Source organism: Homo sapiens, chromosome X, assembly GCF_000001405.40.
Source record: "Homo sapiens chromosome X, GRCh38.p14 Primary Assembly".
In the NCBI taxonomy this organism is placed as follows: Eukaryota; Metazoa; Chordata; class Mammalia; order Primates; family Hominidae; genus Homo; species Homo sapiens.
Genome location: NC_000023.11, coordinates 92,094,214 through 92,120,407, shown reverse-complemented (window position 1 = coordinate 92,120,407; position 26,194 = coordinate 92,094,214). Strand labels below are relative to the sequence as shown.

The window sequence follows — 26,194 nt, the reverse complement described above, 5'->3', positions numbered from 1 at the left end:
GGCGGGTGGATCACGAGGTCAGGAGTTCAAGACCAGCCTGGCCAAGATGGTGAAACCCCACCTCTACTAAAAATACAAAAATTAGCCGGGCGTGGTTGTAGGTGCCTGTAATCCCAGATACTGGGGAGGCTGAGGCAGAGAACTGCTTGAACCCAGGAGGCGGAGGTTGCAGTGAGCCAAGATCACGCCACTGCACTCCAACCGGGGTGACAGAGAGAGACTCTGTCTCAAAAAAAAAAAAAAAAAAAAAAAGAAAGAAAAGTTAGAAAATGGTGCCATTCCATTCTACAAGTCATCAACTTTACTACATAGTTCATATGATGGATGGTATAGGCATGACTTTGTATTACATGAAAAATATCATGGCATATCACTCCTGTCCCCTTTTAGCTTATTCCATTCTAACAGTGTGTTTTGAAACTGTTATGAAATATCATGTTAAAGTACCTGACAATATGTATCAAGACTACAAAGCTATTTCTTCTCTCAAAAAGTACAGGTAGACCAAAATGCTATTGGGTAAAAGCCTCTTGTTTAATTTTGCAAAAAATTAAAATGTGATTTACCTCACAGATAAACAATTAAATGTGTAAAATAAAAATAGAAAATGCATAAATGTGTCTTATTCAATATGCATTTAAGAGCACACACTACTTGGTAAGAAATGTGCTAGCTGTCCAGCTTGGCTTGAAAACATGCATTATGTAAATTAGTTTATTTAGAAATAATAGAAATAATAAAATAATGAAAATAATAATGGAAAACTGTAGGTTTTATTACTAATAAGTTTGTTTTGAGAAATTATTGAATTGCTTAGGGACTCCCAAAATTCCATCTCCATTTTTTCAATTTCCTATCTTTCTAATAAAGTACTTTTGGTTAATGTGGAATATCTATACCCAATAATGTACTTCAAAAAGTATGTGACATGGGTAATTTGTTGCCTATAAGGTCTGGTTCTGTAATAGCATATTGCTTTGATTTTTAAGTAATTAATCAATGGCTAGGTGTGGTGGCTCACACCTGCAATCCCAGCACTTTGGAAGGCCAAGGTGGGAGGATCACTTGAGCCCAGGAGTTGGAGACCAGTATGGGCAACATAATGAGACCTCATCTCTGCCAAAAATTAAAAAAATTAGCTGGATGTGGTGGTGCATCCCTGTAGTCCCAGCTACTCAGGAGGCTGAGGTGGGAAAATTGCTTGAGCCTGGGATGTGGAGGCTGCAGTGAGCCATGATGGCACCACAGCACTCCAGCCTGAGCAACAGAGAGACCCTGTCTCAAAAAAAACCAAATAAATTAATTAAAAAATTAAAATTAAAAATAAATAAATAATTTATCAGATTATCTCAAGACTGCATTATATTGGCCGGGCGCAGTGGCTCACGCCTGTAATCCCAGCACTTTGGGAGGCTGAGGAGGGCGGATCACGAGGTCAGGAGATCGAAACCATCCTGGCTAACACGGTGAAACCCCGTCTTTACTAAAAATACAAAAAATTAGCTGGGCGTGGTGGCGGGCGCCTGTAGTCCCAGCTACTCGGGAGGCTGAGGCAGGAGAATGGCGTGAACCCGGGAGGCGGAGCTCGCAGTGAGCCGAGATTGCACCACTGCACTCCAGCCTAGGTGACAGAGCAAGACTCCGTCTCAAAAAAAAAAAAAAAAAAAAAAAAAAAAGACTGCATTATAACCAAACCAATAATATGCATGCTTAGTTTGCATTAAAATGCAATAAATTTTGGAATGAGTCAAATCTGAAAAAAAATACTAATAGAACTATTAATTTTAAAAGATACGTGTTTATACTCTAAAGCATATGTGAGGGAGGGCTGTGAGGGTAAGCCAGTCAGACAAGACTTCCTAGAAGTGGAGGGGAAAGCTGACATGTTAATTTCATTGTTTTCTGGTTTTAAGGTCTTTAAGAATGCTTTGGAATGAGTCAATACATATATATATATTCCACCCTCTTCCCTTCTTGTGAGCTTGGAGATTTTATGGTGAAGAGATCTCATGCTGCTAGTACAGCAGAAAACCATATTTTAATTCTGGGGCTTAGGGTCTCGTTTAGTTACATGTTAGTTGCATCTTTTTTTCCTGATGTCTTACTTTGCTGCCTTTAAATGAAATATTTTTATGAAACATTAAGATAATGTACATTATTATGAAGGGAAAACCAAAACTGCAGTGTTTCTGAAGGGCATATGGCTTCATAAAACTGTTGGTGGTAGATCTGTGTTGTAGGATGGAAATCTATAGCAGAAGTAATCTGTGGCTCAAGAAAAAAGGTGGCTGCCAACTACCTGCATATGAATGAAACATTTGTGGCCGTTAAGACTACTGTTTTAAAACAGCAGTATGCATGCATGACCATAAATACATTTGACATTTATATAGCCCGGCTCTAATTTCCGTGTTCTCTGCATATGGAACAGCAAGAGCCATAAATGTTATTACACATTGCTCCTTAATATGCAAAGGTGAACCTGTATACTCAGTACATATTGCCTCAGCTTGTTAATGAGCATTTCATGGACTGTGTAACTGCTGAACTACATTCTGCTAGAAACATTGAGTTGTTCCTTCAGGCCTTATGTTTCAGCAAGCTTGTTCTCACTTTGATGTATAAATTAGAGCAATACACTGAAGGGACCCAGGGGTTACTTGATGTTGAATCTTTCCTGTGAAATTGAATATAGCTCTCTTCAAATGTGCTTCTGAAGCATTTTTTTCCTTCCTGTATTTAATGTGGAAGAATTTCTACTGCTATAGAAATAAACCTCTAGATTAAAAATTACTTGTATTTACTTTAATAAAAAATTAGTCTATGGCCTTTCCCTTGCATTATATGAGGAAATAAGAGAGTGAATCTCAAAGAAACACTTACGCTAGTATATACAGATCCCTTTGTTATTTGTTCTTCAAGAGAACAAAGAGAGTATTTGTGTGAATATGGTATTACTTTTTTTTTTTTTGAGACAGAGTTTTGTTGTTTCACCCCGGCTGGAGTAAAGTGGCCCGATCCCCGCTCACTGGAACCTCCCCACCCCCAGGTTCAAGTGAGTCTCCTGCCTCAGCCTCCCGAGTAGCTGGGATTATAGGTGTCCGCCACCATGCTCGGCTAATTTTTGTATTTTGGTAGAGACGGGGTTTTGCTATGTTGGCCAGCCTGGTCTCAAACTCCTGACCTCAGGTGATCCACCCGCCTTGGCCTCCCAAAGTGCTAGGATTACAGGCGTGAGCCACCATGCCTACCACAGTATTACTGTTTGAGGGCTTTTTCCCTACCCTTTACAAGTTTAAAGACATAAAAGGATTGAACTGGAGGAAATCTTAGAAATCCCCAAGTTCTGAACCCTCATTTTATAGAAAAACATGTTCAGGTTCATATTGCAAAAGAGGCCTTCCCAAAAACACACAACTAATTCCTAACAAGGTTTCCTAATCCTCAGGATGGTATTCTACATACTATATAACACTGCTAACCCAACATTGATTTTTTTTAATTATAAAATAAATTTGCTGGCTGAGCACGGTGGCTCATGTCTGTAATCCCAGCACTATGAGAGGTCCAGGATAGTGGATTTCTTGAGCCCAGGAGTTCAAGACCAGCCTGGGCAACATAGTGAGACCCTGTTTCTACAAAAAAATACAAAACATTTGCTAAGCATGGTGGCACATGACTATAGTCCCATCTACTCAAGAGACTGAGGAGTGAGGATCGCTTGAGCCTAGGAGGGGGAGTTACGATGAGCTGTGATTGTGCCTCTGCACTCCAGCCTGGGCAACAGAGGGAGACCCTGTCTCAAAAAATAATAATAGATAAATAAATCAATAAATAAAATAAAAATACATTTGCTAAAATAAGAAAACAGCCAGAAAGATTATCTAAGAATTTAATTTTCTTGGAGCTTTCTACATCTGTCTACACCTGCATTAATGCTAATGTATTAATATTAGTTTTGGCCTCCAACGCTATTAAAAGTTGTATTGGATCAATCTGAAAATCTAAGAAGATGGTAGAAAGAGCTGTTACTCTTTGTTCCTTGATTCTCTGTTGAGCTCAATAACTTAATGTGCCACCATGAGTAAATTTTAAAAGTTAGAAATCAGTTTTGAATTAAATAAATATTATAGGCTATTTAATAAAACATACCTTCAAGATGATCTATGAATACCAAAATAATGTCTGAATGGATTAACCCCAGTTCTGGTCAAAGTCTCAAGAAAAATTAAAAATATATTTCAAGTATGTCATTCTAAGCATTAAAAGCTAAGTGTTGAGCTAACTAAAACACTCACATTTACACGCCTTACAAACATGCTGCTGCAGAGTATACATTTTACATTTTAAATTATGGGCAACTATCGCTCAGAGAAACTATGGATCTGAGAATATAATTCCACTGAAGCTATGTTACATGAGAGAGACTTAGTAGTAGAAATCTGTGATGGTTAATATTAAGTGTCAATTTGTTTGGATTGCAGGATGCAAAGTATTGTTTCTGGGTGTGTCTGTGAGGGTGTTGCCAGAGGAGATTAACATTCGAGTCAGTGAACTGGGAAAGGCCAACTCACCCTCAGTCTGGGTGGGCATCATCCAATCACCTGCCAGCGCAGCTAGAAAAGGCAGTCAGAAGAAGGTGGGATAAGCCGACATGCTGAGTCTTCCTCTGGATGCTCCCTGTCCTCGAACATCAGACTCCAGGTTCTTCAGTTTTTGGACTCTTGGATTTACACCAGTGGTTTGCTAGGGGCTCTCAGGCCTTCAGCCACAGACTGAAGGCTAAACTGTTGGCTTCCCTACTTTCGAGGTTTTGGGACTCGGAATGAGCCACTACTGGCTTCCTAGCTCTTCAGCTTGCAGACAGTCTATCGTGGGACTTCATCTTGTGATCCTGTGAGTCAGTTCTCCTTAATAAACTCCCTTTAATATATACATATATACTATTAGTTCTGTCCCTCTAGAAAACCCTGACTAGTACAGTCTCCTTCTAGTTAAATACATATTTTTTCATTATTTTCTTTCTGCTTGAAACTAGAAGAATAAAATTAAACTTTATTACTCTGCAAAACTTGTGGTCTATGAGTACCTCACAATAAATATGTGTTTCATTTAACACATATTTATTGAATGCCCAAATACAGTCATGTTGATCTAGTCTACATAGATAACTGCAATATAAAGTAGTGGTAAGAATAAATGATAATTGGTATTGGAGATCAATGGATAGAGAGGTCAGTTCCAGTTGTCATGAATTAGAAGACTTCATGGGGAGAGTTTAACTTCAAAAATGGAAAGGGACTGGGCACAGTGTCTCATGCCTGTAATCCCAACACTTTGGGAGGCTGAGGAGGGCGGATCACCTGAGGTCAGGAATTTGAGACCAGCCTGACCAAAATGGCAAAACCCCAGCCGGGCATGGTAGTGGGGGCCTGTAATCCCAGCTACTCGGGGAGGCTGAGACAGGAGAATCGCTTGAACCCAGGAGGCAGAGGTTGCAGTGAGCCGAGTTCGCGCCATTGCACTCCAGCCTGGACGACAGAGCAAGACTCCGTCTCAAAAATAAATAAATAAATAAATAAATGGAAAGGACAGGTGACATTCTTTTGATCCAGTAGGGGTGCAGGGTAGGAGAGGAGAGTTTCCAAGATGGAAGCTGCAAGTTTATGCAAGGCAGGGAGCAAGGAAACCACAGGTATGTTTAGACAATGTTCAGAAAATAAGTTTGGATGAGACAAAGTGTTTGTGTAAAGGAAGAAGCAGCAGAAACTACAATTGGGATATAAAGAACCTTGAAAGACTTTGATCTTTGCCTTTAGGAAAGTGATTTTTAAAAGTTAGAAAAGTTTACAATTTGTAATACACCTCTCCACCTTTTTAATGGAAATTCAACAGAATCAAAGCCACAATATAGAAAATAGATAAAAAGGCTAGTTTCTCAGGATCATGTCTGTAAGCCAGGATTCCTGATCCAGAGACAATGGCCCCGATGGGATGGAGCCCGAAGGCGTCATCGAGAGTAACTGGAATGAGATTGTTGACAGCTTTGATGACATGAACCTCTCGGAGTCCCTTCTCCGTGACATCTATGCCTATGGTTTTGAGAAGCCCTCTGCCATCCAGCAGCAAGCCATTCTACCTTGTATCAGGGGTTATAATGTAATCGCTCAAGCCTGATCTGGGACTGGGAAAATGGCCACATTTGCCATATCGATTCTGCAGCAGATTGCATTAGATCTAAAAGCCACCCAGGCCTTGGTCCTAGCACCCACTCGAGAATTGGCTCAGCAGATACAGAAGGTGGTCATGGCACTAGTAGACTACATGGGTGCCTCCTGTCATGCCTGTATCAGGGGCACCAATGTGCGTGCTGAGGTGCAGAAACTGCAGATGGAAGCTCCCCACATCATCGTGGGTACCCCTAGCTGTGTGTTTGATATGCTTAACCGGAGATACCTATCTCCCAAATACATCAAGATGTTTGTACTGGATGAAGCTGACGAAATGTTAAGCCGTGGATTCAAGGACCAGATCTATGACATATTCCAAAAGCTCAACAGCAACACCCAGGTAGTTTTGCTGTCAGCTACAATGCCTTCTGATGTGCTTGAGGTGATCAAGAAGTTCATGAGGGACCCCATTCGGATTCTTGTCAAGAAGGAAGAGTTGACCCTGGAGGGTATCCGCCAATTCTACATCAACGTGGAACGAGAGGAGTGGAAGCTGGACACACTATGTGACTTGTATGAAACCCTGACCATCACCCAGGCAGTCATCTTCATCAATACCCGGAGGAAGGTGGACTGGCTCACCGAGAAGATGCATGCTCGAGATTTCACTGTCTCCGCCATGCATGGAGATATGGACCAAAAGGAGCGAGACGTGATCACGAGGGAGTTTCGTTCTGGCTCTAGCAGAGTTTTGATTACCACTGACCTGCTGGCCAGAGGCATTGATGTGCAGCAGGTTTCTTTAGTCATCAACTATGACCTTCCCACCAACAGGGAAAACTATATCCACAGAATCAGTCGAGGTGGACAGTTTGGCCGTAAAGATGTGGCTATTAACATGGTGACAGAAGAAGACAAGAGGACTCTTCGAGACATTGAGACCTTCTACAACACCTCCATTGAGGAAATGCCCCCAATGTTGCTGACCTCATCTGAGGGGCTGTCCTGCCACCCAGCCCCAGCCAGGGCTCAATCTCGGGGGGCTGAGGAGCAGCAGGAGAGGGGAAGGAAGGGAGCCAAGGGATAGACATCTTGTCATTTTTTTTCTTTGAATAAATGTCACTTTTTGAGGCAAAAAAAAAAAAATAGATAAAAAGGTAGGTATTATGGTTAAAGTAGAAGTACTGTTCCTTCCCCTGAATCTAACCCCTATACACTCACTGACCTTCCTCAAATATTTTGGATCTGCAAATAGTTTTAAGCAAAAATAAGGTCATATGTTCTTCAGGGAAGTTAATCAATAAACTAAGTGTTTTAAATATAATCTAGCACTGGCGTTAATCTCTTGCACCCAAAATAGAAAATATAAATCACTGCCTTTTTTAGAGTTAATTTACACTGAAACAACTTGAGTAATTCTTCAAAGAAGCTTCAAATGATCAACTTTAGCAATTAATTATAATTAGGACTCAGGTGCCATGATTTAAAAAAAAATTGAAAAATGGCTGAACAAACTAATAGCAAAATTTTCTTAATCATAAACTCATTACTAGGAGCCTCATGATGAATTAAATCTATAAATGGATTATCATGGTGGAATAAAAGATAAGTGAATAATTTTAAAATGAATATAAGTAAACAACACAATGATATCAAATTGTCATAAGAAAACATTATAATAAATCTCTATCTAAAAAGTGAACATGCCTATTGAAATTGTCCACACAAATGACAGTAGGTAGCAATTATAGGATGAAAATCATTAATAGTTTAACTCATTTGCATTTTCCATTAAGAGAAAATATCAAAATACCAAACATTTCAGGAATTCTTTGGGAAAGAATTTGTTTCAAAAATTTAAAACAGTAGGACACTATGATGACTATACTTTTTTTTTTTTTTTTTTACCAGAACATCACCCTATCCCAGATACTGTTTGCCAAGCCTCTCTCAAATCTATGAGCCTGCCTGCTATGATGTAGCTGTCTTCTGCACAAATAACGCATGTCTTATCTTGCCTGTTCTGATCACACACAGTTGTTCATCTTGTATACTCTCTCTTATGAAATTATAAGCTCCATAAGAGCAAAGGTTATAGCTTATAGCTGATACCTTTTTTTTTTTTTTTTGGTATTCCTGGTTGTGTGATAATCAGTGCAGTTTAGAAAAATGAGCATTAGAGGCTGGGCGCAGTGGCTCACACCTGTAATCCTAGCACTTTGGGAGGCCGAGGCGGGTGGATCACGAGGTCAGGGAATCGAGACCATCCTGGCTAACAAGGTGAAACCCCGTCTCTACTAAAAATACAAAAAAATTAGCCGGGCGAGGTGGCGGGCGCCTGTAGTCCCAGCTACTCGGGAGGCTGAGGCAGGAGAATGGCGTGAACCTGGGAGGTGGAGTTTGCAGTGAGCCGAGATCGGCCACTGCACTCCAGCCTGGGCGACAGAGTGAGACTCTGTCTCAGATAAATAAATAAATAAATAAATGAAAAATGAGAATTAGAGTGGGGTTGTGAAATAGCCTCAGTTCTGTCACTAACTATGTGACTTGGGAAACTATTTTATATTTCAGAATTTCAATTTTCACTTTTGTAAAATGATGACATTGGACTATATCTTCTACGGCTCTTTCAACTTAGTAATGTTGTGACTAAAGGAAACTGGATAAATAAATGCTGTTTTTTTAAAATTTCCTATACATTTTTCTTCTTACATTCTACCTTAAAATTAAAAAAAAATGAAATATTAATTTGAGGAAATTTATTTTCTTCGAGTAGCATTACATTTTTATTTAAGATGAGTAGATACAGCTCATATGAACAGTTTCTAATAGAGGGGCAACTACATTTTCATGAAAAAATTCATTTCTCATTAATAACTAGAAGCACTGAGTAGAATATGAAGTTTCTAGACAGACTTGTAAAAAACTACTGATAAAACCTCATCTGTATTGCGAAAACATATGCTTAGAAAGTAGTTGACGCTGATTTTTTTTTTTTTTTTTTTTTTTTTTTTTTTTAGCGTTAGGTGATTCAAATCCAGCTCAGAAAGTTTAAGGCTAATACAGAGCTTACTTTCATATTCTCCAAACCTACAGAGAATGCTGGTAATAAAATATCACTGCTGCAGACTAAACTAAATAAGGCTCATAATAATCTTTCCTTTGCCAAGTATTTAGAAGGTCTGTCCAGGTGAAAATATTTGCTGTTTGTGGAGCTACCAAAGGCCTAGAATACCCCAGATGTTGACTGCATTTACATATTAACATAACTTAAGAAAGGTTATCAGCATGTCCTGGTTCCTCTAAGAAAAAAAAAGAGAGCCAGAAAGGGATATTTGGAGCTATCAAGAATATGGTGTGCTGTGAAAAGAAATTAAATTTTTGGACCCCAAACTCATTTATCCAAAGGGAAAAGTCAAGCTGGGAACTGAGTCACACAAACCTGCCTCCCCCTTTTGGTTCCTCGATGAGATGGCTACCAGATGAAAGGCTACCCGCCTCCCCCATATTTTGCCCACAAGGAAATTCCTGGCCAGCTGTTAAAAACTTCTCCATGGCCATGCAAATTGATAGCTTATCTTTACAGGTGCAGTCACCCAGCCTGCCAGACAAAAATGCATAGCTGATTGTTCCCCTTCCCCATTTTGTCTGTTATGTAAAATGCAGATTCTTCACATTTTTCCTCTGCCCCCCCCTTGTTTATGTAAAAACTGTGTGCTTCTCAATATCCCACCCTTTCCCCTTTAAATTTGGAGCCCTCAAAATCATCTTTGGAGAAAGGCGTAGACCTGTCTCCCGGGTGCATCCTTAATTTTGGCAAATAAATCTCCTAAAATGATTGAGGCTTGTCATTTTCCTCGGTTGACAGTGTCTACTGAAATTCAAAACTTTTTCTTTGATTTGTTTAGGTATCTTGTCTATATTGGCATTGGTACTGTGAAATCTTAGTCTAAGATTTTATTTTTCTCTTTCTTTGTAAGAGCCTAAGATTTATGTATTCCAATTGAATTACTTAGTCTATACAATACAAATCTCATTTTCAATAAGCTGGAACTTTCGTAGACCTTCTAATTTGTTTTATTCACAATCTTTCAAGGATAAGTTTAAAATAAAAATCCTTTTAAATATATGATTGATTTATATTTAGGGACTAATCAATCTATAAAAGTAGCTATTTCAATTATGAAGTAACTTAAAGAAAAGATTAACTGCTGAGAAAAAATGCAGCTCCATCGGTCAATAGCTAAATTATACAGTGTTTTATTCAATAACTATATCTTCAAAAAATAACTTCCTAGTCTTGAAACTATCTTTGCAAAAATTATAACTGAGGATATTATGATAGTGAAAGAGATTAGACCTAATCAACTCCATCTTGCTTCTAACCTTTAAGCTGTCCTTGTTCATTCCTAGGCATAGGCCAAACTAACCTTGGGAAGGAATTTAGTTTATGGTTTGACTCTGAAATGAAATTATAGCCCTTTCCCAAAAAGACTCCCTTCTTGCTTTGGGCCCAGTCTGCCTTTGTAGGACTAACAAACTAGCTACAAGAGTAGGAATTACGTTTAGGGGTCATGCAGCTTCTGGATGCAAGAGTCTGAACCTCACCAAATTGATCCTGGAGATAACATCACTATTTTAAAACCTAAGATCAGTGCTTGAGATATTTTGCAAACCCTGCACTTGATGGATTAGCTGATACCACCCAGACCTGGCTCAACCAGTTCTGTGATCCCACCCAGGAACAGAAGACAACAAGAAAACCTCACTTCGACCCCTCTATGATTCCATCTTCAATCCGAACAATCAGTACTTCCCACTTCCCAAGCCCCTACTGCCAAGTTATCTTAAATGTTTTTTTTTTGAGATGGAATCTCCCTCTGTCACCCAGGCTGGAGTGCAGTGGCATGATCTCGGCTCACAGCAACCTCCGTCTCCTGGACTCAACCAGTAATTCTCCTACCTCAGCCTCCAGAGTAGCTGGGACTACAGGCGCCTGCCACCACGCCCAGCTAATTTTTGCATTTTTAGTAGAGACAGGGTTTCACCACGTTAGCCAGGCTGGTCTCAGGTGATCCACCTGCCTCGGCCTCCCAAAGTGCTGGGATTACAGGCATGAGCCACCGTGCCTGGCCCAAGTTATCTTTAAAAACTCCAGTCCCCAAGCATTCCTCCAAATGCTCAGGGAGGCTGATTTGAGTAATAATAAAACTCCAGTCTCCCACACAGCCGGCTCTGAGTGAATTACTCTTTCTCCATTGCAGTCCCCCTGGTCTTAATAAATCGTCTCTGTCTAGGCAGCGGGCAAGGTGAACCCGTTGGGCGGTTACAGTATTACAAAACTTATAATGATAATAGAACATTTTACTTAACATTATTCAATGCTTAACAGGACATAATTTAGGTTAATATTAGGTAATCCTGACCATAGTTATCTATGCATTTTAATTCTATGTCCCTACCTCTTACGGCTTATCAAAATGAAAAGGAATAATATATCCTATAGCAAGGTTAACACTTCGTATTTCAAAGGATGAGAGGTTATGTTTACGGATGCATTATTGGAATTCTATTTAAAAAGTATTTCCTCCCACATTCTTCTATCAAAAACCAGCCATGTAGTAAAGGTCAGAGTGGAAAACAGAGTAGTCTGCATTATATTATATGTGTACCATAATGGTGAAACATTATATTGACAGATTTAGGGAAAGCTTTTTTTTTTAATCATATTGAGGTATAAAAGACAAAAATCAATGCAGCCGAAAACTAACCTCAGAATGACAGTGTTTTATATTTTTCTAAGCCTCTACCAAAAATTTATTTCACTGTCTTACTTAATATTCAAAATGGATGCACGCTGATTTGAAGTACAGTGTCTTGCCAAGGCAGTCAGCCTTAGAAATACTAAATCCCTTTTACTTTTTTTAATCACAGTGTTAAATTCTCCTGAGTGAATCACAAGTCCAAGGTGGCTGAATGCACTTGCCAGTCTATTGCTATTGAAGCACCTTAATGACATAAAGAAGAAGAAACCAATGAACATTGTTATATATTTCATTTTAAACTGATGTAGACATTTTGAGGAAATCTGCATTTTGAACCAGGTATGTTTTCAGAACAGATCTTGGACTACATGATGTCTAAAAACTAAATAATATCCAAGGATCCTTCATGATTAAATTATCTTCACTCAGCTTGTCAAAGAGCTCTGCTTCTTTATATCAGAACTATATTTTTTCTTTATCAGTTCATATTGTTTATATACAAAGATATTTCACAAACTATCAAATAGCACTGATAAATTAATTTGACTAGTGATTTCCTATACATATTGGCATATTGTCGATGAAAAGAGTCAAATTCTGTAAAGTATTTTAAGAGATTTATTCTGAGCCAAATATGAGTGACCATGGCCCATGACATAGCCCTCAGGAAGTCCTGAGAACATGTGCCCAAGGTGGTTGGGGTACAGCTCGGTTTTATATATTTTAGGGAAGTATGAGACATCAATCAAATACATTTAAGAAATACATTGTTTTGGTTCAGAAACGTGGGACAATTCAAAGTGGGGGCTTTGAGTTCAAGCGATTCTCCTGCCTCAGCCTCCCGAGTAGCAGGGATTACAGGCATGTGCCAACCATGCCCTGCTAATTTTGTATTTTTAGTAGAGACGGGGTTTCTCCATGTTGGTCAGGCTGGTCTAGAACTCCCGACTTCAGGTGATCAGCCCGCCTCTGCCTCCCAAAGTACTGGGATTACAGGCGTGAGCCACCACACCCAGCCTCTTGGTGATTTGGACAATGGATTCCATTAACATCCAAGGGTGTTTTGAACCCAAAAGTACCTAAGACAGCTCTCAAAATGTTAACTCAAAAGTATCTGAAACAGGTCTCAATCAGTTTAGAATGTTTATTTTGCCAAGGTTAAGGACATGCCCATGACACAGCCTCAAGAGGCCCTGAAAATATGCCCAGGGTGGTCAGGGTACAGCTTGTTTTTACATATTTTGAGGAGACATCACACGTCAATCAACACATGTAAGATTTACATTGGTTCCATCTGGAAGGGCAGACTAACTCAAAGTGATGAAGGGATTGAGGAGGGGGATTGAGGGGTGGCTTCCAGGTCATAGATGGATTTAAAAATGTTCTGACTGGCAATTGGCTGAAAGAGAGTTATCAATAGAAAGGAATGTTTGGATTAAGTTAAGGGGTGGTGGAGACCTCGATTTTATCATGCAGAGGAGGCCTCCAAGTAATAGGCTTCTGAGAGAATAGATTGTAAATGTTTCTTATCAGATTTAAGATCTGTGTTGATGCTAATGCTGGTGGGATGTATAGTGAGGCATGTGCCTTCCCCTCTTCTGTCATGTCCTGAACTGGTTTTTCAGGTTAACTGTGGAATGCCCTTGGCCAAGAGGAGGGGTCCATTTGATGATTGGATGGCCTTAGAATTTATTTTTGGTTAATAGTGCCACACAGCTAAATCCAAGAGAGTGTCTTAGAAAATGTAAGTGATATCTTGTTAACTATAGACTTAATTCAGTATTTGAATTATTTAAAAAAGATAACCCAATAAATGATAATATGGCTTTTAAAAATTTTTCCCAGTAGGAAGTTTTTATAATATTTTAATCAACAGGTATTTGAGGAATGCCAAATCAAATAGTAGATATCAAAAACTTAGTAAAATATTTATTAAAGATTAACACAAAGTGTCTGGAGTTGCACAAAATTGATAAAAATATATACTGTGTTACTTCCAATTTTGCTCCATATTCACATATTTTAAAAATTTGCAATAATTACTTTGCTAAGATGGCAAGAACATACAGAAACAACAATGAAAAAGAACAAAATGTCTGAGTAAACATAGCCAGAATTGTTCAATAGTCATAAGAAAAATATTTAACATAATTTAGGACAAAAATCTAGGATGGAATAAAAGACATGATGTAATCTTGGGTAGAAGGATTCAGCATCATAAAGCTGATGATTCTCTCTAAGTTAACATCAAAATTAGTGTGATTCCAACAAGAACAGCAACATTTTTAGAGCTAGATAAATTGATTCTAACGTTAATCTGATTCAACAATCCCATTTCTAGAAATATGGATAAATGATATGTGTGAAAGATTTTTCATTACAGCACTGTTTACCATTTTATCATTTTAAAGTTGAAAATAAGTCCCAATATCCATGTATAAGGGACTGTTTATAACAGCTATGAGATAACCTACAAATATTTGTTTATATCTACATACAGAAACTCTGGAAACATATTTGAGAAACTAATAAGAATGATTAACTGTAGAGGGAAGTGTCAGGCCTCTGAGCCCAAGCCAAGCCATCGCATCCCCTGTGACCTGCACTATATGCCCGGATGGCCTGAACTAACTAAAGAATCACAAAAGAAGTGAATATGCCCTGCCCCACCTTAACTGATGACATTCCACCACAAAAGAAGTGTAAATGGCCGGTCCTTGCCTTAACTGATGACATTACCTTGTGAAAGTCCTTTTCCTGGCTCATCCTGGCTCAAAAAGCACCCCCACTGAGCACCTTGCGACCCCCACTCCTGCCCACTGAGCACCTTGCGACCCCCACTCCTACCCGCCAGAGAACAAACCCCCTTTGACTGTAATTTTCCTTTACCTACCCAAATCTTATAAAACGGCCCCACCCCTATCTCCCTTCGCTGACTCTCTTTTCCGACTCAGCCCGCCTGCACCCAGGTGAAATAAACAGCCATGTTGCTCACACAAAGCCTGTTTGGTGGTCTCTTCACACGGACGCGCATGAAATTTGGTGCCGTGACTCAGATCGAGGGACCTCCCTTGGGAGATCAATCCCCTGTCCTCCTGCTTTTTGCTCCGTAAGATCCACCTAGGACCTCAGGTCCTCAGACCGACCAGCCCAAGAAACATCTCACCAATTTCAAATCCGGTAAGAGGCCTATTTTTACTCTCTTCTCCAACCTCCCTCATTATCCCTCAACCTCTTTCTCCTTTCAATCTTGGAACCACACTTCAATCTCTCCCTTCTCTTAATTTCAATTCCTTTCATTTTCTGGTAGAGACAAAAGAGACATGTTTTATCCGTGAACCCAAAACTCCGGTGCCGGTCACGGACTGGGAAGGCAGCCTTCCCTTGGTGTTTAATCATTTCAGGGACACCTCTCTGATTATACACTCACGTTTCAAGGATGTCAGACCACGCAGGGATGCCTGACTTGGTCCTTCACCCTTGGTGGCAAGTCTCGCTTTCCTGGGGCAGGGGCAAGTACCCCTCAACCCCTTCTCCTTCACCCTTAGTGGCAAGTCCCGCTTTCCTAGGGGGCAAGAACCCCCCAATCGCTTATTTCCACGCCCCAACCTCTTATCTCTGTGCCCCAATCCCTTATTTCCACGCCCCAATCTCTTATCTCTGCACCCCAATCCCTTATTTCCGTGCCCCAACTCTTTCTCTGCTTTTCTGGAGGGGAAGAAAACCCCACCCCTTCTCCATGTCTCTACTCTTTTCTCTGGGCTTGCCTCCTTCACTATGCTTCCACCTTCCATTCCTCCTTCTTCTCCCTTAGCCTGTATTCTTAAGAACTTAAAACCTCTTCAATTCTCACCTGACCTAAAATCTAAGCGTCTTATTTTCTTCTGCAATGCCGCTTGACCCCAATACAAACTCGACAGTAGTTCCAAATAGCCAGAAAACGGCACTTTCAATTTTTCCATCCTGCAAGATCTAAATAATTCTTGTTGTAAAATGGGCAAATGGTCTGAGGTGCCTGACGTCCAGGCATTCTTTTACACATCAGTCCCCTCCTAGTCTCTGTGCCCAGTGCAACTCCTCCCAAATCTTCTTTCTTTCCCTCCCGCCTGTCCCCTCAGTACCAACCCCAAGTGTCGCTGAGTCTTTCTAATCTTCCTTTTCTACAGACCCATCTGACCTCTCCCCTCCTCGACAGGCTGAGCTAGGTCCCAATTCTTCCTCAGCCTCCACTCCTCCACCCTATAATCTTTTTATCGCCTCCCCTCCTCACACCTGTTCCGGCTTACAGTTTCATTCCGTGACTAGCACTCCCCCACCTGCCCAGCAATTTATTCTTAAAAAGGTGGCTGGAGCTAAAGGCATAGTCAAGGTTAATGCTCCTTTTTCTTTATCCCAAATCAGATAGTGTTTAGGCTCTTTTTCATCAAATATAAAAATCCAGCCCAGTTCATGACTTGTTTGGCAGCAACCCTGAGACACTTTACAGCCCTAGGCCCTAAAAGGTCTAAAGGCCGTCTTATTCTCAATATACATTTTATTACCCAATCTGCTCCCGACATTAAATAAAACTCCAAAAACTGGAATCTGGCCCTCAAACCCCACAACAGGACTTAATTAACCTCACCTTCAAGGTGTGCAATAACAGAAAAAAGTTGCAATTCCTTGCCACCACTGTGAGACAAACCCCAGCCACATCTCCAGCACACAAGAACTTCCAAACGCCTGAACTGTAGCAGCCAGGCGTTCCTCCAGAACCTTCTCCCCCAGGAACTTGTTACACATGCCGGAAATCTGGCCACTGGGCCAAGGAACGCCCGCAGCCCAGGATTCCTCCTAAGCCACGTCCCATCTGTGTGGGACCCCACTGAAAATCGGACTGTTCAACTCACCTGGCAGCCACTCCCAGAGCTCCTGGAACTCTGGCCCAGGGCTCTCTGACTGACTCCTTCTTGGCTTACCGGCTGAAGACTGATGCTGCCCGATCGCCTCAGAAGCCCCGTAGACCATCACGGACGCCGAGCTTTAGGTAACTCACAGTGGAGGGTAAGCCCGTCCCCTTCTTAATCAATACGGAGGCTACCCACTCCACATTACCTTCTTTTCAAGGGTCTGTTTCCCTTGCCTCCATAACTGTTGTGGGTATTGACAGCCAGGCTTCTAAACCTCTTAAAACTCCCCCCACTCTGGTGCCAACTTAGACAACACGCTTTTATGCACTCTTTTTTAGTTATCTCCACCTGCCCAGTTCCCTTATTAGGCCGAGATATTTTAACCAAATTATCTGCTTCCCTGACTCTTCCTGGACTACAGCCACATCTCATTGCCGCCCTTCTCCCCAACCCAAAGCCTCCTTCGAGTCTTCCTCTCATATCCCCCCACCTTAACCCACAAGTATAGGACATCTCTACTCCTTCCCTGGCAACTGATCACATGCCCATTACCATCCCATTAAAACCTAATCACCCTTACCCCGCTCAACGGCAATATCCCATCCCACAGCACGCTTTGAAAGGATTAAAGCCTGTTAACACTAGCCTGCTACAGCATGGCCTTTTAAAGCCTATAAACTCTCCTTACCATTTCCCCATTTTACCTGTCCTAAAACCAGACAAGCCTTACAAGTTAGTTCAGAATCTGCGCTTTATCAACCAAATTGTTTTGCCTATCCACCCCATGGTGCCAAACCCATATACTCTCCTATCCTCAATACCTCCCTCTACTACCCATTATTCTGTTCTAGATCTCAAACATGCTTTCTTTACTATTCCTTTGCACCCTTCATCCCAACCTGTTTTCGCTTTCACTTGGATTGACCCTGACACCGATTAGGCTCAGCAAATTACCTGGGCTGTACTGCCACAAGGCTTCACAGACAGCCCCCATTACTTCAGTCAAGCCCAAATTTCATCCTCATCTGTTACCTATTTCGGCATAATTCTCCTAAAAACACACATGCTTTCCCTGCTGATCGTGTCCGATTAATCTCCCAAACCTCAATCCCTTACAAAACAACAACTCCTTTCCTTCCTAGGCATGGTTCGTGCGGTCAGAATTCTTAAACAAGAGCCAGGACTGAACCCTGTAGCCTTTCTGTCCAAACAACTTGACCTTACTGTTTTAGCCTAGCCCTCAGGTCTGCGTACAGAGGCTGCCGCTGCTTTAATACTTTTAGAGGCCCTAAAAATCACAAACTACGCTCAACTCACTCTCTACATTTCTCATAACTTCCAAAATCTATTTTCTTCCTCATACCTGACGCATATACTTTCTGCTCCCCGGCTCCTTCAGCTGTACTCACTCTTTCTTAAGTCCCACAATTACCGTTGTTCCTGGCCGGGACTTCAATCTGGCCTCCCACATTATTCCTGATACCACACCTGACCCCCACGATTGTATCTCTCTGATCCACCTGATATTCACCCCATTTCCCCATATTTCCTTCTTTCCTGTTCCTCACCCTGATCACACTTGATTTATTGATGGCAGTTCCACCAGGCCTAATCGCCACATACCAGCAAAGGCAGGCTATGCTATAGTACAAGCCACTAGCCCGCCTCTCAGAACCTCTCATTTCCTTTCCATCATGGAAATCTATCCTCAAGGAAATAACTTCCCAGTGTTCCATCTGCTATTCTACTACTCCTCAGGGATTATTCAGGCCCCCTCCCTTCCCTACACATCAAGCTCAAGGATTTGCCCCCACCCAGGACTGGCAAATTAGCTTTACTCAACATGCCCGAGTCAGGAAACTAAAATACCTCTTAGTCTAAATAGACACTTTCACTGAATAAGTAAAGGCCTTTCCTACAGGGTCTGAGAAGGCCTCCGCAGTCATTTCTTCCGTTCTGTCAGACATAATTCCTCAGTTTAGCCTTCCCACCTCAATACAGTCTGATAACAGATAAGCCTTTATTAGTCAAATCAGCCAAGCAGTTTTTCAGGCTGTTAGTATTCAGTGAAACCTTTATATCCCTTACAGTCCTCCATCTTCAAGAAAAGTAGAATGGACTAAGGTCTTTTAAAAACACACCTCACCAAGCTCAGCCACCAAAAAGGACTGGACAATACTTTTATCACTTTCCCTTCTCAGAATTCAGGCCTGTCCTCGGAATGCTACAAGGTACAGCCCATTTAAGCTCCTGTATAGATGCTCCTTTTTATTAGGCCGCAGTCTCATTCCAGACATCAGACCAACTTAGACTGTGCCCCAAAAAAAACTTGTCATCCCTACTATTTTCTGTCTAGTCATACTCCTATTCTCCGTTCTCAACTACTCATACATGCCCTGCTCTTGTTTACACTGCCAGTTTACACTGTTTCTCCAAGCCATCACAGCTGATATCTCCTTGTGCTATCCCCAAACCGCTACTCTTAACTCTTGAAGTAAATAAATAATCTTTGCTGGCAGGACTATGCTGAATCTCCTTAGGCACTCTCTAATCAGATGTCCTAGGTCCTCCCAATTCTTAGACCTTTTATACCTGTTTTTCTCCTTCTTATTCCATTTAGTTTTTCAGTTCATACAAAACCGTATCCAGGCCATCACCAATCATTCTATACAACAAATGTTTCTTCTAACAACCCAACAATATCACCCCTTACCACAAATCTTCCTTCAGCTTAATCTCTCCCACTCTAGGTTCCCACACTGCCCCTGATCCCGCTTGAAGCAGCCCTGAGAAACATCGTCCATTCTCTCTCCATACCACCCCCCCAAAAATTTTCACCGTCCCAACACTTCAACACTATTTTGTTTTATTTTTCTTATTAAGAAGGCAGGAATGTCAGGCCTCTGAGCCCAAGCCAAGCCATCGCATCCCCTGTGACTTGCACGGATACGACCAGATGGCCGGAAGTAACTGAAGAATCACAAAAGAAGTGAATATGCCCTGCCCCACCTTAACTGATGACATTCCACCACAACAGAAGTGTAAATGGCCGGTCCTTGCCTTAAGTGATGACATTACCTTGTGAAAGTCCTTTTCCTGGCTCATCCTGGCTCAAAAAGCACCCCCACTGAGCACCTTGCGACCCCCACTCCTACCCGCCAGAGAACAAACCCCCTTTGACTGTAATTTTCCTTTACCTACCCAAATCCTATCAAACGGCCCCACCCTTATCTCCCTTCACTGACTCTCTTTTAGGACTGAGCCCGCCTGCACCCAGGTGAAATAAACAGCCATGTTGCTCACACAAAGCCTGTTTGGTGGTCTCTTCACAGGGACGCGCATGAAAGGAAGGATATATGGAAGAAATAGTGACAAGCTTGGAAGAAAGGCTTCTTCGTGTGTACCTTGTTACATGGTTTTAATTTTTAAATCATTTGAATACATCATCTATTAAAAATCCCCAAAATAAATTTAAAAAATTAAAAACCCATAAGAAAAAACACTTAAGGGAAAATATATGAACTACATATTCTGCTAAGTGCTGTAAATGCTTGTTCTGTCAATATGATGGAATCTTTTAAATATATGTTCTTTATTTTCTTTAATGATTATTTTGATTAATATATGGAGTGCAGCCATCATTCATCCTTGGCTGCTTGAAACTTGGAGTTGATTTTCAGAGAAATTATTGAGATTACTACTTTCCACTTAAACATTATACCATAGTGCACATTGAATTGGTTTTGATTACTACCAAAAGGAGTAATTTTCCCCAACAATTTTTAGCATATAAATACAAGCAGAATTTCACTGAATGACAGCAGGATACATAGCAATGAAATATACAAAAATTGAACTAAATTTTTGTGTTTTGTGTAAAAGAATGGCTCTGGTCCCTGCTCTCAAGTTGCTAACACTAAATTAACTCAAAACATGTATTGTTTGCTTTCTATGGGCCAAAACCTGCACCTTATTCTTTCTCCATTTTTATTCTAGGCAGAAGTTATTACAGAATTCAGGAGTCAGAGAATTAAAGAATTTCTTAGCAACCACAGTCTCACTGAGGTTTATTCAATTTTAGAGAATTTAATTCAAAAGATTAAAATGATGAATGTAGCTCAGCATATGACCTGCAGTTGAAGACACCTGGCTCACAGCTTGCTTTAAGTTTGATACATGAGGTTATTTGGCATTTACTGCCATGAAGTTTGAAGGAAGCATACTGAAAAGAAGACACAGCAATAAACTTTTGTCATTAATTTCTCTCTCACAGTTTCTGACAAGCTGGAAAGAAATGTCATTTGTATTTCTTAATTGGTTTCATTTCCACGCAAATACAGACTTTCAGTAAAAGTTTCTAAAAAGCTATACACATGAAATTATTAACAACAAAAAGCACATACTGAGCCAAGGTGTGAATAGATAATTCTAACAGAAAAGTTACAAAAAAAGTCAAGATCAAAATATGATTAAGACAGGAGAGCAGTTTTTAGAGATGTTTTGGTAAAATAGATATGAGTTACTAGCCTATACTTTGTAAACATGCTTGATGTGGCCAGTATGGCATGTCATTACCCTTTTAGGAACACACAGATCCATATGTATTTACAATGATTAATTAAAAGAGAGCATTCAGGGGCCGGGTGCAGTGGCTCAGGCCTGTAATCCCAGCACTTTGGGAGGCTGAGATGGGCTGATCACCTGAGGTTGGGAGTTCGAGACCAGCCTGACCAACATGGAGAAACCCTGTCTGTACTATAAATACAAAATTAGCTGGGTATGGTGGCACATGCCTGTAATCCCAGCTACTCGGGAGGCTGAGGCAGGAGAATTGCTTGAACCTAGGAGGCAGAGGTCGCTGTGAGCCAAGATCACACACCATTTCACTCCAGCCTGGGCAAAAAGAGTGAAACTCTGTCTCAAAAAAAAAAAAAAAAAAAAAAAAAAGAGCATTTGGAGCTTCACTGGACAAGCACAACCAGCTCAGTGGATTTCTGGCAATACCAAGAACATTTTGAGACTCATGCCTGTGCTTTAACCATGGATGAGATTTTAGCTAGTGTCCTAAGGGAAGAACAAAATGATGAGCAAATTCAAACATCATCTTTTGGTTTAGCCTGATGGTTTCTATGACCAACCGTATGTTTATTTATGAAAGAATTTATATTATTTAATTAAAACAAAATAGAAATGAAGGTATATGGTATCACAATCATGTTCATTATTAGTTTTGTGTCTTGCTGTAGAAATACATTTAGTGAGTGCTTACCTATCATTGGAGTTGAATCTACCTCCACCTTAATTAGTTCTTGGGCTCAATTTCTGACCACACAACCTCACAACATAAAATGTAGTTTTGGTTACTTAGATTAGTGTAGGCCAGGAAACACTGGTGCAAGAAGAAAAAATAAAATAATAAATCCCTAGGATCAATAAGATATCGTCTGCTACCTCATTTTTTTCCCTAAAATATTCATGCTTTAGGAATGAATTTCATTATTTGAATACATACATATATGTATAAGCAGTCGGCACCTTGTATCCACGGGTTCCACATTCTTGATTTCAAGCAACTGAGGATCAAAAATATTTTAAAAGCCCAATACAAATAACAATACTACAATAAAAAGTAATACAAATATATATAATACAGTATAATGACTATTTACATAGCATTTACATTGTATTAGGTATTATAAGTAATCTAGAAATAATTTAAAATATACAGGAGAAGGTGTGTAGACTATATGTAAATACTATGTATCATTTTATATAAGGGACTTGAGCGTCTAAGGATTTTGGTATTATGGGGGTGCTAGAACCAATCCCTTAAAGATACCAAGGGAGGACTGAATATAAATATACATATATATAGCAGATACATAAATAAAATGAGGATACATATATTGAAATTCTATGGAGTTCTGCATAATTCATAACTCATTTTTACTTATCAAACTATAATCTATAGCTTTAAGTATTAACTGAGTATTAATTCTGCTAAATATCAAATTTTTCATATGAATGTACACCATCATTAGAGATGCAAAGACTTAGAAAGGAAATGAAAAGAAAAAAATAAAATATATTCGTGTTGGGGGAATGGTGTAATGAAAAAAATATATTTCCCCGCATCTTTCCTGAGAACTTTTTCAATTTTTTTTTTTTTTTTCTGAGACAAGGGCTCAGTCTGTTTCCCAGTCTGGAATGCAGTGGTGTGAACACAACAAGGCAGCCATGACATCCTGGGCTCAAGCAATCCTTCCATCTCAACCTCCCAAGTAGCTAGGACCACAAGTGCACACCACCTGGCCAGTTTTTTAATTTTTTTGTAGAGATGGGTCTCCGTATGTTTCCCAGGCTGGTCTCAAACTCCTGGGCTAAGTGATTCTCCCACCTCAGCCTCACAAAGTACTGGGATTACAGGTGTGAGCCACCATGCGTGGTCCCTGACTTTTTCAATTTTGCTTTCTAATCTTAGAGGAGAAAATAAACAAAATTAAAGAGAAATGTAAGCAAGATTATCAATAGTTTATACCTTCTTATTAGCTAAAATGGTACCATCACCAGATGAACATCTCTGTCTAATAAAGATTGACATGAGTTTGACAGATCCATTAGGCTCAGTTCCACTTTAATCCTAACTTTTCCCATATATTCATCCATACACATACTTTGTACATCATTTTATACAATGTGTATGTATGTGATATGGTTTGGCTGTGTCCCCATCCAAATCTTCATCTTGAATTGTAGCTCTCATAATTCCCACATGTTGTGGGAGTGATCCAATGGGAGATATTTGAATCATGGGGGTGGTTTCCCTCATACTGTTCTCGTGGTACTTAATAAGTCTCATGAGATCTGATGGTTTTATAAGGGGTTTCCCTTTTGCTCAGCTCTCATTCTCTCTTGCCTACTGCCTTGTAAGACGTGCCTTTCTCCTTACAACATGATTGTGAGGCCTCCCCAGCACATGGAACTGTGAGTCCATTAAACCTCTTTTTCTTTATAAATTACCCAGACATAAAGGTATGTCTTTATCAGCAGCATGAAAATGGACAAATACAATATGATATGTGTATATATTCATATATAGCAGGTACATACACACACACACACACACACACACACACACACACACATACACATACACTCCACTTAGGGCCCCTAAACTATGTATAAACTTGTCTATTCATTCAGTCCTCTTACATAGTCCCCCTGAGAGCAAGTGAAGATAATGTCCCATGTGTTCAACGTGCCTTGTATATTAAATCATAAAGGAAAAAGGGGCCTGCATATATCATTCAGAATGAATCTCTATTTATTCAGTTTGTGAATAAGGTAGACAGACTCTCCCTTGATTATCTGAAATATGAAGGCAGATTGATCTTCAGCAAGTGACTTGCATTTTGGAAAATATCAAACAACATTTCAATCTAACCTTACTTTCCTTCAGAAATATATGTAAGGGAAACATCTTGTCTTTGATGCCCACTGTGATAACAATATAAGTAACTAATTCTATTATTTGTAGTTTTATAATCTTTAATAATTGTGATAGTATATTCAAGAACTTGTCTAAAGATGTTGAACACCTTAACTTTGTTTCTAAAAGAAAAAATGCATGATGATTGGCCTAAAAGTGCTCAATGATTCTCTTCGTCTTGGAACTTGAATAGCAAAAAGTAATTCAGAATCAACTTTGTTGCCACTTAAATAACTTCTCTAAGATTTTTCTAGGAAAATGGAAGATTTCTCAAAGTGAAGATTTTTGCCTTGTCAATCAATATCCATTAGCAATTTCACTACGTGTACAAATTTAATTACTAAAAAGCAAAGTCATTACCCTTGATATGTAGGACATAAGGTTTAAATGGCGTATATTTTTATATTATAGATTGTTCAAATTTCATGCTTATAGCATATGTTCACTGTATCTTTGCTGACTTTCTGCCTGAATTAGAATTTTTTATTGTTTAAAGCTTTGAAGTAGGCTTAATTTAGGACTATAGTGGTGACAACATCAAAAGGAGGTTACTTCTAGATGAGAAACTCAATAAAAATTACAGTATGAGAGAGAAATGCAAATTCCTTCCTTTGGGATGTGCCATACTAGCCCCAGAATGAAATATTATTATTTTATTAAATATACATTAAAAGATATATCTTATTCAGGGGTACCTACCTCTAAACAACAAACTAGAACCTTGTGAAGAACATTTGAAAAGTATTTTTGGAGAAAAAAACATAATATTAGGAATAGAATTCTAAGGACATGTGGTACAAAATGTCACAAAAGTAACCAAAGAAGAAAAGAGCAGGTAAGGAGACAAAGAGAGGATATGAAATGCAGAAAAAGCCTGAAAATTAGTGAGCAATGGAAGAGTAAATGCATTAGCTTTGTTGAAACACTAATGACAACCTAGACATTTTTGTGCTGGAAATTTCACCACAGCTGGGGATTGGGGGTTAGGGGATAGGAGGACTCGGATTTGGGATTTGGACTTGCATTTTTATTAGCTGAAATCTCTACAGAATTCACTTGTTGCTCCGTGTTCTTCAGTTGATAATGCATATATTACCATGTATACTGCAATGAAGGGCCTTTGTTCTTGGATATATCTTTGATGTAATTTAAATATTGATAATAATATGTGTGTTTGTGGAGTGACATCATAAACATTCAAATTAAAGAGGAATGTTAATGTTTTTCTAAACCTCTAGATATTAGAAATTAATACTTTACTTATTTCAAAATATTCTCCAAGTACATAAAAAGCACTACAGTTGTTGTTGTTTTTCCCCAAAGCCAGAAGGTATTCATGATGGCATAGCATATTGTCCTAGTGAATTCTGTTGTTAAAATCCAACTGTCCTAAACACTGAAGTACTAGAGTCTAGGATAATTGGAAAGTATGATCATCCAATTGGCAGACAGCCTAGTAGTGGACATGATAGAGCAGTTAAATGTCTCACATTGTCCTAGTGTATAAAATGAGGGAGAAATAAGATATTTTTCTACACCCTGATTTTTTGTGTATTCCTTTAGGAAGAGAGAACAAGTGGGCTTGTCCTCATATATACCTGTATATCCTCAAAGATAGAGATAAACAGTTAAATCTGAATAACACCTGCATATCATAGGGCATAAGAATACTTTTAAGCAAGAGGTTATGGCTCAAAATCAAATCTCTATTTCTAATATCTAAAGAAACAGATTCTGCAATGGTAAGTAACCTATCTCTACTCATTTTATAAAATAATTCAAATGGTTTGCAAAGAAAAGTCTTGATAAAATGCTGTTGTCCATTTTTTTTTCAGTTATTTAAACCAGTGTGTGGGATGTCAACAAAACAACCATGCTAGA

The 26,194-nt window shown here is 39.6% G+C and overlaps 1 protein-coding gene and 1 pseudogene across 14 annotated transcripts in view, besides 6 other annotated features; one reads left to right on the top strand and one right to left on the bottom strand.

Annotated features, from left to right (window-relative positions):
• Positions 1-26,194, bottom strand: part of PCDH11X (protocadherin 11 X-linked) — an 843,856-nt gene that overhangs the window by 502,823 nt on the left and 314,839 nt on the right. The window lies entirely within an intron of this gene.
• Positions 5,931-7,310, top strand: EIF4A1P10 (eukaryotic translation initiation factor 4A1 pseudogene 10; annotated as a pseudogene).
• Positions 9,289-10,070: an enhancer, noted in NCBI's record as "OCT4-NANOG hESC enhancer chrX:91365337-91366118 (GRCh37/hg19 assembly coordinates)". NCBI's record gives its function as "activates a minimal SCP1, AML or CMV promoter by ChIP-STARR-seq in naive H9 embryonic stem cells {active_cell/tissue: H9 hESC(naive)}" and the evidence as "EXISTENCE:reporter gene assay evidence [ECO:0000049][PMID:30033119]".
• Positions 14,320-15,091: an enhancer, noted in NCBI's record as "OCT4-NANOG-H3K27ac-H3K4me1 hESC enhancer chrX:91360316-91361087 (GRCh37/hg19 assembly coordinates)". NCBI's record gives its function as "activates a minimal SCP1, AML or CMV promoter by ChIP-STARR-seq in naive and primed H9 embryonic stem cells {active_cell/tissue: H9 hESC(naive and primed)}" and the evidence as "EXISTENCE:reporter gene assay evidence [ECO:0000049][PMID:30033119]".
• Positions 15,865-16,636: an enhancer, noted in NCBI's record as "NANOG-H3K27ac-H3K4me1 hESC enhancer chrX:91358771-91359542 (GRCh37/hg19 assembly coordinates)". NCBI's record gives its function as "activates a minimal SCP1, AML or CMV promoter by ChIP-STARR-seq in naive and primed H9 embryonic stem cells {active_cell/tissue: H9 hESC(naive and primed)}" and the evidence as "EXISTENCE:reporter gene assay evidence [ECO:0000049][PMID:30033119]".
• Positions 16,637-17,410: an enhancer, noted in NCBI's record as "NANOG-H3K27ac-H3K4me1 hESC enhancer chrX:91357997-91358770 (GRCh37/hg19 assembly coordinates)". NCBI's record gives its function as "activates a minimal SCP1, AML or CMV promoter by ChIP-STARR-seq in primed H9 embryonic stem cells {active_cell/tissue: H9 hESC(primed)}" and the evidence as "EXISTENCE:reporter gene assay evidence [ECO:0000049][PMID:30033119]".
• Positions 18,956-19,728: an enhancer, noted in NCBI's record as "OCT4-NANOG-H3K27ac hESC enhancer chrX:91355679-91356451 (GRCh37/hg19 assembly coordinates)". NCBI's record gives its function as "activates a minimal SCP1, AML or CMV promoter by ChIP-STARR-seq in naive and primed H9 embryonic stem cells {active_cell/tissue: H9 hESC(naive and primed)}" and the evidence as "EXISTENCE:reporter gene assay evidence [ECO:0000049][PMID:30033119]".
• Positions 19,729-20,501: an enhancer, noted in NCBI's record as "OCT4-NANOG-H3K27ac hESC enhancer chrX:91354906-91355678 (GRCh37/hg19 assembly coordinates)". NCBI's record gives its function as "activates a minimal SCP1, AML or CMV promoter by ChIP-STARR-seq in naive and primed H9 embryonic stem cells {active_cell/tissue: H9 hESC(naive and primed)}" and the evidence as "EXISTENCE:reporter gene assay evidence [ECO:0000049][PMID:30033119]".